Raw genomic sequence first — 19,201 nt, forward strand, 5'->3', positions numbered from 1 at the left:
GACTCAGCAAGTCTGCCCTTTCCATCTTCTTCTGCCTGCTTTATTCTAGCTGCACTGGCAGCTGACTAGATGGTGCCCACCCAGATTGAGGGTGGGTCTGCCTCTCCCAGTCCACTGACTCAAATGTTAATCTCCTTTGGCAACACCCTCACAGACACACCCAGGAACTATACTTTGCATCCTTCAATCCAATCAAGTTGACACTCAATATTAACCATCACATTTCCTAAACCAATATACCAATTATTGATTATGATTATGACAATCATTTCACATTGTATACATACATGTATCATCACACTGTACATCTCAAATATATGCAAGTTTTATTTGTCAATCATACTTCAGTATAGCTGAGAACAAGTTAAATGGAACAAATAAACCATGCTTTCAAAGGAGCCTTGGCTACCAAAATTCAAAAAAGAAAAACATGTTATTAATAGGAAAGTAAATTCCAAATAAACATATATATACTTGACTACTCATTTAAGCCTTCTGTGAAGAAAACCCAAGAAATTATGGGAGAAAGCTATAAAAATATACAACAAAATGATTAAAAACATTAAATTTTCATGGTAGACCTCAAAGTTATTTAACTTTCTTCTTTGTAAGTGTATTCTAAGTTGAAGCAAGGAATATGCAACAGCTTAAAATTTTATAAATTATATAATTTTTTCACAGAATTAGGAAAAACAATTTTTAAAATCACATGGAACCAAAAAAAAAAAGAGCCTGCATAGCCAAAGTAATACTAAGCAAAAGGAATAAATTGGAGGCATCACATTATCCAACTTCAAGTTATACCACAAGGCTATAGTAACCAAAACAGCATGGTACTTGTATAAAAGTAGACACATAGACCAAAGGAACAGAATAGAGAACCCAGAAATAGAGCCCCATACTTACAACAAACCTATCTTCAACAAAGCATACAAAAACATAAATAGGGGAAAGAACATCCTGTTCAATAAATGGTGCAGGGAAAACTGGATAGCCACATATAGAAGAATAAAACTGAATCCCTATCTCTTGCCATCTACAAAAATCAACTCAAGATGGATCAAAGACTTAAATTTAAGTCCTAAAAATTCTAGAAGAAAATCTAGCAAAAACATTTCTGGACATTGGTCTGGGCAAAGAATTTATGTCTGAGACCCCAAAAGCAAATGCAACAAAAACAAAAATAAATAAATAGGATCTAATTAAATTTTAAAAATTCTTCACAACAAAAGAAATAATCAGAAGAGTAAACAGACAACCCACAGTGTAGGAGACAATATTCACAAATCATCATCTTACAAAGGACTAATATCCAGAATCTACAAGGAACTCAAATCAGCAAGAAAAAAACAATCTCCTCCAAAAGTGGGTAGGACATGAATAGATAATTCTCAAAAGAAGATGTACAAACAGCCAACAAACATATGAAAAAATGCTTAAGTGCAAGAAGGGCGATTAAAATGTCAAAAAAAATAGATGTTGGCATGTATGTGTTGAAACGGGAATACTTATACACTGTTGTATCCTCTCTGGAACACAGTATGAAGATTTTTCAAAGAATTAAGAGTAGTAGAGAAAATAGCAGATGTACCATTCAATCCCGCAATCCCACTGCTCGGTATCTACCTGTATTAGTCTGTTCTCACACTGCTATAAAGAACTGCCCGAGACTGAATAATTTATAAAGGAAAGAGGTTTAATTGACTCACAGTTCTGCATGACTGGGGAGGCCTCAGGAAACTTACAATCATGGCAGAAGGGGAACCAAATACTTCCTTCTTCAAATGATGGCAGGAAGGAGAAGAATGAGTGCTGAGCAAAGGAGGATACCCCTTATGAAATCATCAGATCTCGTGAGAACTTAGTCACTATCACAGAAACCGCAGCACAGGAGTAACTGCCCCCATGATTCAGTTACCTCCCACCGGGTCCCTCCCATGATACATGGTGATTATGGGAACTACAATTCAAGATGAGATTTGGGTGGGGACACAGCCAAACCATATCACTACCCAAAGGAAAAGAAGCCATTATATAAAAAAAAAAAAACCTGCATGCATGTTTATTGCAGCACAATTCACAATTGCAAAAATATGGAACCAACCTAAGTGCCCCGCCACCAATCAGTGGATAAATAAAATGTGGTACATATACATCATGGAATACTACTCAGCCATAAAAAGAAACAAAATAATGTCTTTTGCAGCAACTTAGATTGGCTGGAGGCCATTATTCTAAGTGAAGTAACTCAGGAATGGAAAACCAAATATTGTACGTTCTCACTTATAAGTGGGAGCTAAGCTACAGGTATACAAAACATATGGAGTGGTATAATGGACATTAGATACTCAGAAGGGGAGGGGAAAAAACCCTACATATTGGGTACAATATACACTACTTAGGTGATGGATGCACTAAAACCTCCAACTTTACCAGTATACAATTCATCCATATAACCAAAAACTACTTGTACCCCAAAAGCTATTGAAATAAAAAATATACATATATTTAAAATTCAGATGACATCCACTCAGAAAAAAATTATAAATTATTGTTATATTTTAAATTACAAAATACAAGATAAACTTTAGAAGACATACATATTTAGATTTCTTATGTCTATGAAAAAAGAATACATGATTCAATATACTATTGGGGAACACCAAGAACATATAATTTTCAAAGGACTAAAGTCACATGACTAAACATTTATGAAAAAGTGTGCAAGCCTATTGGAAATAGAATAGCATAAAAGGTCCAGAAATAAATCCAAGCATATATGGCCAACTAATTTTGGACAGGGACACCAGAAAGACACAATTGAAAAAGGGTACCCTCTTCAATAAACGGTGCTAGAAAAAAATTGTATTTCCACATGTAAAGGAATAAAATCGAATCCTTATCTTACACCATATACAAAAATCAACTTAAAATGAATAAAAGACCTACATGTAAGACCATAAAACTCTTGGAATAAAACATAGGAGAAAGAAGAGAACATAGCTCCTTGACATTGGCCTTGGCAACAATTCCATTCCTTGGATAATACACTAAAAGGTCACGCTACAAAGGCAAATATAAATAGATAGGACTACATTAAGCCAAAATGTTTCTGCACAGCAAAGGAAACAACAAAATCAAAAGGCAACCTATGGATTGGAAATATTTGCAAACTATATATCTGATAAGAGGTTAATATCCAAAATTTATGTAAAAACTTACACAACTCATTAGTAAGAAAATATATAATTCAATAATAAATGGACAAAATGCCTGAATAGATATTTCTCCAAAGTTGACATAAAAATGGCCAACAAGTATAGGACAAGGTGCTCAACATCACTATTCATGAGGACAGAATAATGCAAATCAAAACTACTATGAGATGTCACCTTATATTCCTTAAAATAGCTATTATTTAAAAGGTGAGTTAACAAGTATCGTCAAGAGCATGTACTTTGGCATTGTTGGTGGAATGTAAATTGCTGCAGCCATTAGGGAAAACATTATAAAGGTACCATGTAAGAAAACTTCACAAGTATCACCTGAACCTAAAATAAAAGTTAAAAAGAAAAGATTCCACCCCAAAATTAAAGACAGAACTACCATGTGATCCAGCAACCCCTCTTCTGGGTATATACCCAAAAGAAATGAAAGTACCACCTTGTAAAAAACATCTGCACTCCCATTTTCATTGAAGCATTATGCACAATTACCAAGATACAGAAACAATCTAGGTGTCCATCAACAGATGAATGAAAAAGGAAACTGTAATATTTACACACACACACACACACGAGTAATATTATTCAGCCTTTAAAAAGGAGATATTCAATTGTACCTAAATCTCAGCATCACACAATATATCCAGGTAACAAATCTGCACATGTGCCCCCTAAATGTAAAAGTTGGAATTATAAAAAAAAAAAAATAAGAGGAGATTCTGCCATTTGCCACTACACGGATGTACCTGGAAAACATTAGGCTAAATAAAATAAGCCAGACACAAAAAGGAAAACATTGCATGACCTCACTTATATGTGGGAAAAAGGTCAAATAAATGGAGATAGAGAATAAAATAGCAGTTACCAGAGACAAGATGGGAAGGAGGAAATGGGGAGATGTAGGTCAAAGTACAAGATATGTAGGATAAACAAGGCTAAAGAGCTCACGTACAACATGAAGACTATAGTTGATAATAGAGTATAGAATTCAGAATTTTTGCTAAATGACTAGATTATAGATGTTCTTGCCACAGAGTGAAAACTAAGTTAACTATATGAGGTGATAGATACGTTAATTTGCTTCACCATGGTGACTATTTTATACACACACACACACACACACACACACACACACACATATAACTCTCATAGCATTATGTTGTATACCTTAAATATACATAATTAAATTTATTTTTAAAAAGAAGAGAAAACTCATAACATGAAAAAAATTATTAGGTCATCATGTAATAGCAACTAAGCAGTATGCTAGAAGCTCTGAATGCACAGAAGAAATGAAAAAAAGACATCACACGGATTTAATAGATATGAGTATTTGTCTGCAAATATAGATGTAACATTGCATTTTAGTTGTTACCAGTAACAAAATTTCAATTTAAATTCCACCTTGCCTCTGGGTTGGCAAAAAAAAAAAAATGCAAATAAGTTATTTTCAGGAATTATTTCCACAAATCTTTCACATCAAAGCTATCTAGACTCCACAGGCACATGCAGAGTGTGTCAAGAAATAAAGTAGTAATAATGGAAGATTGCACTCATTATCAGTTATCCGCTTAGAGGTTATCATGTAGCTACTGAGCCTGCACACACTCAGTGCTGAAACCCTACCATTCCCATCACAATGAGGCATTGAAATGGGGATTCTGGTGTGGCCACTTACCTCCATTTGCAACCACTCTGTTAGGAGTTCTCTGATTCCATGGAGTATCCTAAAGGTGAATACCGGGTTCTGGTTCCCCCAGGACCCAGAGACACTCCTCCACCCTCACCCTTCCCAAATACTCCACTTATTTTGATAAACTCTTTAGCTTTTGCACAGACCCTCTAGTTACACTGCCAATTTAGCTTTTGAAAAAAATAGTCTTCAAGACTTCTTTTGCTTATCAGCTTCAAAACACCTTCCGAGGGATCAAAAAGTAAAGACATGACAACCCGCAGGAATGTGGGAAAGAGGATATTCCAGGAAATCATCCATAATGGATATCATGAGTTTATCCAGTCTCATTCTTGTGCCTAATGAAATGTTTGATAGCCCATTATGATGAAGACTACATGGCATCCGTTTCTGTGCATCACCCCAGAAGATAGTGGTCAGTTCATAAACATGATGTTTCATGGAAGAGAATTTCCCACAGGTCTTCATGAGTCTTTAAAGCTAGAGACCAGTGCTTGTGGCCCAACAGATAATATTTTTACTGGAGAAGTCTAGTGAGCACAACTGTAAAAAAAATCTACTATGGTGGGGTGAGTGAACGGGTTTCCTTTCCATTTGACTTGGAGTAACAGAAGCATTCTTCAAAGACCTAGTTAATATTTTGCAGTGATTATCATTTTGAAATAGGATTATCAGTGAACATCTGTAACTCACTCTTTGTTGTCCAGTGTTTCTTGAACGGAATTTTGTAAAAAGAAAAAAAATCAGAGAACGAATGAATACATTTGAAATCGTTGAGGAAATGCTGGAAATTAGGGCTAATTATCTCTCCTAATTGTGGTAAAGGAGCTTCTTCCTGGACATGGATATTCATAGCCTGTTATCCAAACCCTCCTGAGCCATGTAGCTATAGATATTTTTTGAAACTCATGTGCTATAAATCATGATTCTAATAGTTAGCTGGATATAATACCATGGAATCCAGTCTTAATTTTGTAAAGAACAGTACATAAAACAAGTGCAGCTAAAGAAACACAAATACCACAAGATCTAACTTATTTGTGGAATCTAAAAACTTCAAACTCAGAAGTGTGCTGCCAGTAAGGTGGCAGAATAAGAAGTCATCCACTCGTATCCCCCAAAAACAACAAGAATTCTGTACCTGTCAACAGAGAAAAAGCCTCTTTACATGAGCTGGAGACTGAGGTTGAAGTCTGTGAAACCCCAGTGGAGCCCAAGACTTTGAAAAGTCATTTTAAGAGTGCAGGCCCACACCCAGATGGCAGGCCTACCAATCATGCTCCTGCATTGAAAGTTTGAAAGAGCCTCATTTCCCAAAGGGCTTAGCTACAGCCTTGTATGGCCTTGACCCTGGAACCAAAACTATCTGCCAAAGCCTCCAGGAGGAATCACAACAGTATCTTGGCAAAAAGGTTTGACTGCCCACCAACATTGGTCTCAGCAGTGGACTGGAAAGTTACCCTATAAAAGCTACAGTTCCCCTCAACTGTGGTCACAGATTGACACTGCTTGCACAAGGCCTCAGAAAGAGCTCTCATGTGTGACACCAGGACAGGCTTGAAAGCCTCTGTTCCACAGCACAGTCTAAATGGGCTCTATCTTTCAGCCCGGCATTATCTTGCCCAAGCAGAGAATGGCTGGGAGTCACCCATCTGAGCCTCCATAACAGGCTTACTAGGTTCCATCTCATTGCAGAGCCTGAAGGAGCCAATCTCAGCTCAAATCCATTGGTGCCACAGCCAGGGAATTATCTGACCTGTACAAGGAACAGCTGGGAGACATGCCCATCTGAACAACTGGGACAGGCTTGCCAGCATCTGTTCCATAGCAGGTCCTCAAGGGGCCTGGTCTTAGACCCAGCCCCTCTTGCTGCAATGAGGGAATAATCCCAAAGGCACAGGGATCTGCTGGGAAACTCACCCCATCTGAGCCTCTTTGACAGACTTATCAGACTGTGTCTCACAGAAATTCTTGAAGGGGCACAGTCTCAGCTTCAGCCTCTTACTGCCATAGCCAGAAAACTATCCCACCTATGCAGGGAACTGCTGGGAAATGCACCTATCTGAAGTAACAGGACAGGGTTTCTAACTTCCATCCCATAGCAGATCCTAAAAGGGTCAAATGTCAGCTCCAGCACCTGTCACTGCAGTCAGGTAACTATCCTACCTGTGCTGGGAACTGCTTAGATATGTGCCCATCTGAGCCACCAGAAGAGGCTTGCGATGCATCCTCTTTCTCACAGAAGATTCTAAAAAGGCCCAGTCTCAGCTCCAGCCCTTTTCTGCAACAGCCTGGAAACTATCCTACCTGTGCAGTGAACTTCTGGGAGATGCTGTCATCCAAGACACCAGCACAGGCTTGCCATCCTCTGTCCCACAGTAGGACATGAAGAGGCCTTAGTGCTACACTAGATCAAGCACTTATGAATCTAGTGACCATGACAAACAGCATGCTCAGAGTTGCTGGATAGACGTCTTGTACAAGAACTGTCACAGAGAAATCCAGACTATGAACACTAAAATAAATACCTATTTCTTCAATGAATAGACATTGATGCACAACCACAAGGATCAAAAACAATCAAAGATAAATGATGTCAGAAGATGGCAGAATAGGAACAGCTCCGATCTACAGCTCCCAGCATGAGGGACGCAGAAGACGGGTGATTTCTGCATTTCCATCTCAGGTACTGGGTTCATCTCACTAGGGAGTGCCAGAGAGTGGGTGCAGGACAATGGGTGCAACACACCATGTGGGAGCCAAAGCAGGGCGAGGCATTGCCTCACTCGGGAAGCACAAGGGGTCAGGGAGTTCCCTTTCCTAGTCAAAGAAAAGGGTGACAGACGGCACCTGGAGAATCAGGTCACTCCCACCCTAATACTGCACATTTCCAGTGGGCTTAAGGAACAGCACACCAGGAGATTGTATCCCGCATCTGGCTCGGAGGGACCTGAGCCCATGGAGTATCGCTGATTGCTAGCACAGTAGTCTGAGATCAAACTGCAAGGCAGCAGTGAGGCTGGGGGAAGGGCACCTGCCATTGCCCAGGCTTGCTTAGGTAAACAAAGCAGCCAGGAAGCTCGAACTGGGTGGAGCCCACCACAGCTCAAGGAGGCCTGCCTGCCTCTGTAGGCTCCACTTCTGGGGGCAGGGCACAGACAAACAAAAAGACAGCAGTAACCTCTGCAGACTTAAACATCCCTGTCTGACAGCTTTGAAGAGAGTAGTGGTTCTCCCATCACGCACCTGGAGATCTGAGAATGGGCAGACTGCCTCCTCAAGTGGGTCCCTGACCCCCGAGCAGCCTAACTGGGAGGCACCCCCCAGTAGGGGCAGACTGACACCTCGCACGGCCGGATACTCTTCTGAGACAAAACTTCCAGAGGACCGATCAGGCAGCAGCATTTGCGGTTCATGAAAATCCAGTTCTGCAGCCACCACTGCTGATACCCAGGCAAACAGGGTCTGGAGTGGACCTCTAGCAAACTCCAACAGACCTGCAGCTGAGGGTCCTGTCTGTTAGAAGGAAAACTAACAAACAGAAAGGACATCCACACCAAAAACCCATCTGTATGTCACCATCATCAAAGACCAAAAGTAGATAAAACCACAAAGATGGGGAAAAAACAGAACAGAAAAACTGGAAACTCTAAAAAGCAGAGCACCTCTCCTCCTCCAAAGGTTCGCAGTTCCTCACCAGCAACAGAACAAAGCAGGATGGAGAATGACTTTGACGAGTTGAGAGAAGAAGGCTTCAGACAATCAAACTACTCCGAGCTACAGGAGGAAATTCAAACCAACGGCAAAGAAGTTAAAAACTTTGAAAAAAAATTAGACGAATGTATAACTAGAATAACCAATGTAGAGAAGTGCTTAAAGGGGCTGATGGAGCTGAAAGCCAAGGCAAGAGAACTACATAAAGAATGCAGAAGCCTCAGGAGCTGATGCAATCAACTGGAAGAAATGGTATCAGTGATGGAAGATGAAATGAATGAAATGAAGTGAGAAGGGAAGTTTAGAGAAAAAAGAATAAAAAGAAATGAGCAAAACCTCCAAGAAATATGGGACTATGTGAAAAGACCAAATCTACGTCTGATTGGTGTACCTGAAAGTGATGGGGAGAATGGAACCAAGTTGGAAAACACTCTGCAGGATATTATCCAGGAGAACTTCCCCAATCTAGCAAGGCAGGCCAACGTTCAGATTCAGGAAATACAGAGAACGCCACAAAGATACTCCTCGAGAAGAGCAACTCCAAGACACATAATTGTCAGATTCACCAAAGTTGAAATGAAGGAAAAAATGTTAAGGGCAGCCAGAGAGAAAGGTCGGGTTACCATCAAAGGGAAGCCCATCAGACTAACAGCGGATCTCTCGGCAGAAACCCTACAAGCCAGAAGAGAGTGGGGGCAAATATTCAACATTCTTAAAGAAAAGAATTTTCAACCCAAAATTGCATATCCAGCCAAAATAAGCTTCATAAGTGAAGGAGAAATAAAATACTTTACAGACAAGCAAATGCTGAGAGATTTTGTCACCACCAGGCCTGCCCTAAAAGAGCTCCTGATGGAAGCACTAAACATGGAAAGGAACAACCGGTATCAGCCACTGCAAAAACATGCCAAATTGTAAAGACCATCAAGGCTAGGAAGAAACTGCATCAACTAACGAGCAAAATAACCAGCTAACATCATAATGACAGGATCAAATTCACACATAACAATATTAACTTTAAATGTAAATGGGCTAAATGCTCCAATTAAAAGACACAGAGTGGCAAATTGGATAGAGTCAAGACCCATCAGTGTGCTGTATTCAGGAAACCCATCTCACATGCAGAGACACACATAGGCTCAAAATAAAGGGATGGAGGAAGATCTACCAAGCAAATGGAAAACAAAAAAAGGCAGGGGTTGCAATCCTAGTCTCTGATAAAACAGACTTTAAACCAACAAAGAACAAAAGAGACAAAGAAGGCCATTACATAATGGTAAAGGGATCAATTCAACAAGAAGAGCTAACTATCCTAAATATATATGCACCCAACACAGGAGGACCCAGATTCATAAAGCAAGTCCTGAGTGACCTACAAAGAGACTTAGACTCCCACACAATAATAATGGGAGACTTTAACACCCCACTGTCAACCTTAGGCAGATCAATGAGACAGAAAGTTAACAAGGATACCCAGGAATTGAACTCAGCTCTGCACCAAGCGGACCTAATAGACATCTACAAAACTCTCCACCCCAAATCAACAGAATATACATTTTTTTCAGCACCACACCACACCTATTCCAAAATTGACCACATAGTTGGAAGTAAAGCACTATTCAGCAAATGTAAAAGAACAGAAATTATAACAAACTGTCTCTCAGACCACAGTACAATCAAACTAGAACTCAGGATTAAGAAACTCACTCAAAACCACTCAACTACATGGAAACGGAACAACCTGCTCCTGAATGACTACTGGGTACCTAACGAAATGAAGGCAGAAATAAAGATGTTCTTTGAAACCAACGAGAACAAAGACACAACATACCAGAATCTGTGGGACACATTCAAAGCAGTGTGCTGAGGGAAATTTATAGCACTAAATGCCCACAAGAGAAAGCAGGAAAGATCCAAAATTGACACCCTAACATCACAATTAAAAGAACTAGAAAAGCAAGAGCAAACACATTCAAAAGCTAGCAGAAGGCAAGAAATAACTAAAATCAGAGCAGAACTGAAGGAAATAGAGACAGAAAAAAACCCTTCAAAAAATTAATGAATCCAGGAGCTGGTTTTTTGAAAAGATCAACAAAATTGATAGACTGCTAGTAAGACTAATAAAGAAGAAAAGAGAGAAGAATCAAATAGATGCAATAAAAAATGATAAAGGAGATATCACCGCTGATCCCACAGAAATACAAACTACCATCAGAGAATACTACAAACACCTCTACACAAATAAGCTAGAAAATCTAGAAGAAATGGATAAATTCCTTGACACATACACCCTCCCAAGACTAAACCAGGAAGAAGTTGAATCTCTGAATAGACCAATAACAGGCTCTGAAATTGTGCTTACCAACCAAAAAGAGTTGGTAAGCCAGCCAGCCATTTGACCCAGCCATCCCATTACTGGGACCACATGGATTCACAGCCGAATTCTACCAGAGGTACAAGGAGGAACTGGTACCATTCCTTCTGAAACTATTCCAATCAATAGAAAAAGAGGGAATCCTCCCTAACTCATTTTACGACGCCAGCATCATCCTGATACCAAAGCCGGGCAGAGACACAACCAAAAAAGAGAATTTTAGACCAATATCCTTAATGAACATTGATGCAAAAATCGTCAATAAAATACTGGCAAACCGAATCCAGCAGCACATCAAAAAGCTTATCCACCATGATCAATTGGGCTTCATCCCTGGGATGCAAGGCTGGTTCAACATACGCAAATCAATAAATGTAATCCAGCATATAAACAGAACCAAAGACAAAAACCACATCATTATCTCAATAGATGCAGAAAAGGCCTTTGACAAAATTCAACAATGCTTCATGCTAAAAACTCTCAAAAAATTAGGTATTGATGGGACGTATCTCAAAATAAGAGCTATCTATGAGAAACCCACAGCCAATATCATACTGAATGGGCAAAAACTGGAAGCATTCCCTTTGAAAACTGGCACAAGACAGGGATGCCTTCTCTCACCACTCCTATTCAACATAGTGTTGGAAGTTCTGGCAGGGCAATCAGGCAGGAGAAGGAAATAAAGGGTATTCAATTCAGAAAAGAGGAAGTCAAATTGTCCCTGTTTGCAGATGACATGATTGTATATCTAGAAAACCCCATCGTCTCAGCCCAAAATCTCCTTAAGCTGATAAACAACTTCAGCAAAGTCTCAGGATATAAAATCAATGTACAAAAATCACAAGCATTCTTATACACCAATAACAGACAAACAGAAAGCCAAATCATGAGTGAACTCCCATTCACAATTGCTTCAAAGAGAATAAAATACCTAGGAATCCAACTTACAAGGGATGTGAAGGACCTCTTCAAGGAGAACTACAAACCAATGCTCAATGAAATCAAAGAGGATACAAACAAATGGAAGAACATTCCATGCACATGGGTAGGAAGAATCAATATCGTGAAAATGACCGTACTGCCCAAGGTAATTTACAGATTCAATGCCATCCCCATCAAGCTACCAATGGCTTTCTTCACAGAATTGGAAAAAACTACCTTAAAGTTCATATGGAACCAAAAAAGAGCCCGCATCACCAAGTCAATCCTAAGCCAAAAGAACAAAGCTGGAGGCATCACACTACCTGACTTCAAACTCTACTACAAGGCTACAGTCACCAAAACAGCATGATACTGGTGCTACAGTCACCAAAACAGCATGATACTGGTACCAGAACAGAGATATAGACCAATGGAACAGAACAGAGCCCTCAGAATTAATTACACATATCTACAACTATCTGTTCTTTGACAAACCTGACAAAAACAAGCAATGGGGAAAGGATTCCCTATTTAATAAATGGTGCTGGGAAAACTGGCTAGCCATATGTAGAAAGCTGAAACTGGATCCCTTCCTTACACCTTATACAAAAATTAATTCAAGATGGATTAAAGACTTAAACGTTAGACCTAAAACCATAAAAACCCTAGAAGAAAACCTAGGCAATACCATTCAGGACATAGGCATGGGCAAGGACTTCATGTCTAAAACACCAAAAGCAATGGCAACAAAAGACAAAATTGACAAATGGGATTTAATTAAACTAAAGAGCTTCTGCACAGCAAAAGAAACTACCATCAGAGTGAACAGGCAACCTACAAAATGGGAGAACATTTTCATAATCTACTCATCTGACAAAGGGCTAATATCCAGAATCTACAATGAACTCAAACACATTTACAAGAAAAAAACAAACAACCATTAAAAAGTGGGTGAGGTATATGAACAGACCCTTCTCAAAAGAAGACATTTATGCAGCCAAAAAACACATGAAAAAGTGCTCATCATCACTGGCCATCAGAGAAATGCAAATCAAAACCACAATGAGATACCATCTCACACCAGTTAGAATGGAGATCATTAAAAAGTCAGGAAACAACAGGTGCTGGAGAGGATGTGGAGAAATAGGAACACTTTTACACTGTTGGTGGGACTGTAAACTATTTCAACCATTGTGGAAGTCAGTGTGGCGATTCCTCAGGGATCTAGAACTAGAAATAACATTTGACCCAGCCATCCCATTACTGGGTATATACCCAAAGGATTATAAATCATGCTGCTATAAAGACACATGCACACGTATGTTTATTGCGGCACTATTCACAATAGCAAAGACTTGGAACCAACCCAAATGTCCAACAATGATAGACTGGATTAAGAAAATGTGGCACATATACACCATGGAATACTATGCAGCCATTAAAAAATGATGAGTTCATGTCCTTTGTAGGGACATGGATGAAGATGGAAACCATCATTCTCAGCAAACTATCGCAAAGACAAAAAACCAAACACCACATGTTCTCACTCATAGGTGGGAATTGAACAATGAGAACACATGGACACAGGAAGGGGAACATCACACTCCAGGGACTGTTGTGGGGTGGGGGGAGAGGGGAGGGATAGCATTAGGAGATATACCTAATGCTAAATGACGAGTTAATGGGTGCAGTACACCAACATGGCACATGTATACATAGGTAACAAACCTGCACATTGTGCACATGTACCCTAAAACTTAAAGTATAATAATAACAAAATAAAAAAATATTTAAAAAAAAGAAAAACGATGTCACCAAACAAACAAAACAACATACCAGTAATTGGCACTAAACGGATGCAGACATAAAATCCACCTGACAAGAAAATCAAGAGAACTGTTCTAAAGCCACTAATCAACCAACCAAAAAAATCGTAGAGAAGACCCAAACAAACAAAATCAGAATTGAAAAAGGAGACAACAACTGAGACCACAGACATACAAAGAATCATTAGTGACTATTATGAACAACTATATGACAATTTGGAAACCTAAAAGTAATGGATAAATTACCAGACATATAAACCTACCAAGATTGAACCAAGAAAAAAACATAAAACCTCAACAAATTAATAATGAGTAACAAGAGTAAGGTCATAATAAAATTCTCACTTCAAAGAAAATCCCAGGACCAGATAGACTCACTGATGAATTCTACCAAACATCAAAAGAACAACAAATATGAATTGAGTCTACTAAAATCCTTCAAAAAAATTAAACAGCAAGGAATGCTTCCAAACTCATTCTAACATGGCAGCATTACCCTGACACCAAAACCAGGCAAGGACACATGAAAAAAGAAAACTAAAAGCCAGTATTATTAACATATATGCAAAATCCTCAACAAAATACTAGCAAACCAAATTCATCAACACCTTAAAAGATCATTCACCATGATCAAGGGGGATTCCTCCCAGGAATACAAGGATAGTTCAACACGTGCAAATCAATAAACATGATACATCACATTAACAGAACCAAGAATTAAATAGATTTAAATAAATGATGAAAAAATATTTGACAAAACTCAACATCCTCTTATGAAAAATATCCTCAACAAACTAAGTATAGAAGGAACATACCTCAAAATAATAAAGGCCATATGTCACAAACCCACAGCTAACATTATACTGAACAGGGAAAAATGGAAAGCCTTTCTTCTAAGGTCTTAAACAAAACAAGGATGCCCGCTTTTACCACTTTTATTCAACATAATATCAAAAGTCCCAGCCAGAGCAATTAGGCAAGAGAAACAAATAAAGGGAATCCAAATTGGAAAGGAAGAAGTCAAATTCTCTTGTTTGCATAAGATAACTTTTTTCGTGGGAGTTTAATCTTTTCACTGACAAGTAAGCTTTATTATATGTCAAATCAACATTTTAGAGTTTTTTCATTGACACATTATATTTACATGTTTATTGGGTATATGTGAGCGTTTGTTACATGCATGGAATGAGTGATAATCAAGCCAGGGTAATTTGGGGTATCCATCACCATGCATGTATGCATGTTTATCATTTTTAGGTGTTTTATCATTTCTAGTCTTCTAGTTACTTTGCAATATACATAATAGTATTGCTACATATGGTCACCCTAGTCTGCTATCAAACATTAGGATGATTTCTTCAATCTAACTGCATGTTTGTATCCATAAACAACCTCTCTTCACCTCCCTTTCCCAGTTTCTGATATCTATCCTATTCTTGATGTCCATGAGATCAAGTTTTTACATCCCACATATGAGTGAGAACATGTGGTATTTATCTTTTTGTGCTTCCCTTACGTCACTTATCATAATAAAACCCATTTCCATCCATGTTGCTGGAAAAGGATTCCACTCTTTTTAATGGCTGAATAGTGTATGTGTATATATGTGTATGGGTATTTGTGCAGGTATGGGTACCTATGGGTGTGGGTGTAGGTGTGTATCCAGAAAACAAATAGTACATATAAACACATACATGTACATGCATGCATGTGCACACACACACTCACACACACACACCATTTTTCTTGTCCAATCAGCCATTGATGAACACTTAGGTTGATTCCATATCTGTTCTATTGGGAATAGCATTGTGATAAACCTGTGAGTCAAATGTATCCCTTTGAGAAAATAATTTCTTTTCTTTTGGATAGATACCCTGTAGTGAGATTGCTGCATCATGTAGTAGTTCTAGATTTAGTTTTTCTGAGAAATATCTATACTGCTTTCCATAATGGTTGCACTAATTTACATTCCCACCATGTCTAAGAGTACCCTTTTCTCTGCAACCTCACCAGCATCTGGGTGTGTGTGTGTCTGTGTGAGTGTGTGCATCTGTCAATAATAAACATTCTGTGGTGAGATAATATCTCATTGTGGTTTTTATTTACAATCCCTGATAATTAGTGTTGAGCATTTTTCATATACTATTGGTCTTTTGTAAGTCTTCTTTTGAAAAATATTGTTCATTTTTAGTGGGATTGTTTGGTTTTCTATAGTTGAATTGTTATTCTTGTATAGAATACATATTAGTCCCCTTTGGATGAGCACTTTGCAAATATTTTCTCCCATTCAAGTGATTTGCACTTCCCTTGTAATAGGTGATGTTGAGCAGATTTTCATATACCTATTAGCCATTTGTACATCTTTTTTTAGGTAAGATTTTATTTATTATGATGGGTGTGCTTGCCTGTTCCTAAGTTCATTCCAGTCTGGAACATAGGAAGATAATGCTACCTGCATAGCTGCTACACCATTCAGCCATTTCTTTCCTTTGTTTTTAACTGGGTTAAGATAGAAAACCCTAGTTCACACAAACTAGTTGTTGTGAATGGTAGTAATAGCAGGACACTCTTTCTATTTAACAATGGAAAGTCTTCCTTTACCTTATTCCAAAATGCTGATAAGCTTAAGGTCTCATAATCATTCTTTAATGTATATGAAGAACTAAACTGCAATAATTCATTCTCTTCTTCAGGCACCAAGTTTAGCTCAATTATTGATTCAGGGTTTTGAAAAGCAAATGGATATTTTACCCAACTGTTTTCCCTTAATGTTTCAAATTTTTCTTCTGGAAAGAAACGGTTAAAAGTTTGAGATAGGTCACTTCCAAGATGGCCTAATAGGAACAGCTCCAGTCTACAGCTCCCAGTGAGATCGATGCAGAAGATGGGTGATTTCTGCATTTCCAACTGAGGTACCTGGTTCATCTCATTGGGACTGGTTGGACAGTGGGTGCAGCCCATGGAGGGTGAGCCAAAGCAGGGCAGGGCATCACCTCACCCAGGAAGTGCAAGGGGTTGGGGGATTTCCCTTTCCTAGCCAAGGAAAGCTGGGAGTGACTGTACCTGGAGGAATGGTACACTCCTGCCCAAATACTGCACTTTTCCCAGGGTCATCACAACCAGCAGACCAGGAGATTCCCTCCCAAGCCTGACTAGACAGGTCCCACACCCATGGAGCCTTGCTCGCTGCTAATGCAGCAGTCTGAGATCAACCTGGGATGTTGGAGCTTGGCAGGGGGAGGGGCATCCACTACTACTGAGGCTTGAGTAGGCAGTTCTATGCCCACAGTCTAAACAAAGCAACAGGGAACTTCAAACTGGGCGGAGCCCACCACAGCTCAGCAAGGCCTACTGCCTCTCTAGATTCCACCTCTAGGGGCAGGGCATATCTGAACAAAAGGCAGGAGACAGCTTCTGCAGACTTAAACCTCCCTGCCTAACAGCTCTGAAAAGAGCAGTGGTTCTCACAGCACAGAGTTCAAGCTCTGATAATGGACAGACTGCCTCCTCAAGTGGGTCCATGACCCCATGATTCCTGATGGGGAGACACCTCACAGTAGGGGCCGACAGACACCTCATACAGGCAGGTGTCCCTCTGGGACAAAGCTTCCAGAGAAAGGATCAGGCAGCAATATTTGCTGTTCTGCAACCTCCACTGGAAATACCCAGGCAAACCTGGTAATACTCCAGGGTCTGGAGTGGACCTCCAGCAAACTCCAACAGACCTGCAGATGAGGGGCCTGACTGTTAGAAGGAAAACTAACAAACAGAAAGGAATAGCATCAACATCAACAAAAAGGACATCCACAACAAAACCCCATCCATAGGTCACCAACATCAAAGACCAAACGTAGACAAAAACCACAAAAATGGGGAGAAACCAGAGCAGAAAGGCTGAAAATTCCAAAACCAAAATACCTCTTCTCCTCCAAAGGAACACAACTCCTCAACAGCAAGGGAATAAAACTGGATGGAGAATGAGTTTGACAAATTGACAAAAGTAGTCATCAGAAGGTCGGTAATAACAAACTTCTCTGAGCTAAAGGAGCATGTTCTAACCCATTGCAAGGAAACTAAACTTTGAAAAAAGGTTAGACGAATGGCTAACTAGAATACCAGTAAGGAGAAGAGCTTAAATGGCCTGATGGAGCTGAGAACCACAGTATGAGACCTTCATGAAGCATACACAAGCTTCAATAGCCGATTAGATCAAGTGGAAGTAAGGATATCAGTGATTGAAGATCAAATTAATGAAATAAAGTGAGAAGACAAGACTAGAGAAACAAGGGTGAAAAGAAACAAATAAAGCCTCCAATAAACATGAGACTATATGAAGACCAAATCTATGTTTGATTGGTGTACCTGAAAGTGATGGGAGAATGGAACCAAGTTAGAAAACACTCTTCAGGACATTATCCAGGAGAACTTCCCCAACGTAGCAAGGCAGGCCAACATTCAACTTCAGGAAATAGAGAGAACACCACAAAGATACTCCTGGAGAAGAGCAACCCCAAGAAACATAATCATCATATTCACCAAGGTTGAAATGAAGGAAAAAATGTTAAGGGCAGCCAGAGAGAAAAGTCAGGTTACCCACAAAGGGAAGCCCATCAGACTAACAGCAGATCTCTCAGCAGAAACCCTACAAGCCAGAAGAGAGTGGGGGCTAATATTCAACATTATTAAAGAAAAAATTTTTAACCCAGAATTTCATATCCAGCCAACTAAGCTTCATAAGTGAAGGAGAAATAAAATCCTTTACAAACAAGCAAGTGCTGAGGGATTTTGTCACCATCAGGTGTGCCTTAAAGAGCTCCTGAAGGAAGCACTAAATATGGAAAGGAAAAAGTGGTACCAGCCACTGCAAAAACAAACCAAAATGTAAAGACCATCGACACTATGAAGAAACCGCATCAACTAATGGGGAAAATAACCTGCTAGCACCATAATGACAGGATCAAATTCACACATAACAATATTAGCATTAAAGGTAAGTGGGCTAAATGCCCCAATTAATAGGCACAGATGGGCAAACTGGATGAAGAGTCAAGACTCATCAGTGTGCTGTATTCAGGAGACCCATCTCAAGTGCAAAGACACACTTATGCTCAAAATAAAGGGATGGAGAAATATTTACCAAGCAAATGGAAAGAAAAAAAAACAGAGTTTACAATCCTAGTCTCTGATAAAACAGACTTTATAATACAGGAGCACGCAGATTCATAAAGCAAGTTCTTAGAGACCTACAAAGAGACTTAGACTCCCACACAATAATAGTGGGAGACTTTAATACCCCACTGTCAATATTAGACAGACCAATGAGACAGAAAATTAACAAGGATATTCAGCACTTGAACTCAGCTCTGAACCAGGTGGGCCTAATAAACATCTACAGAACTCTCCACCTCAAATAAACAGAATATACATTCTTCTCAGCACCACATAG

The sequence above is a fragment of the Homo sapiens genome, chromosome 11, assembly GCF_000001405.40.
Source record: "Homo sapiens chromosome 11, GRCh38.p14 Primary Assembly".
Taxonomy (NCBI): Eukaryota; Metazoa; Chordata; class Mammalia; order Primates; family Hominidae; genus Homo; species Homo sapiens.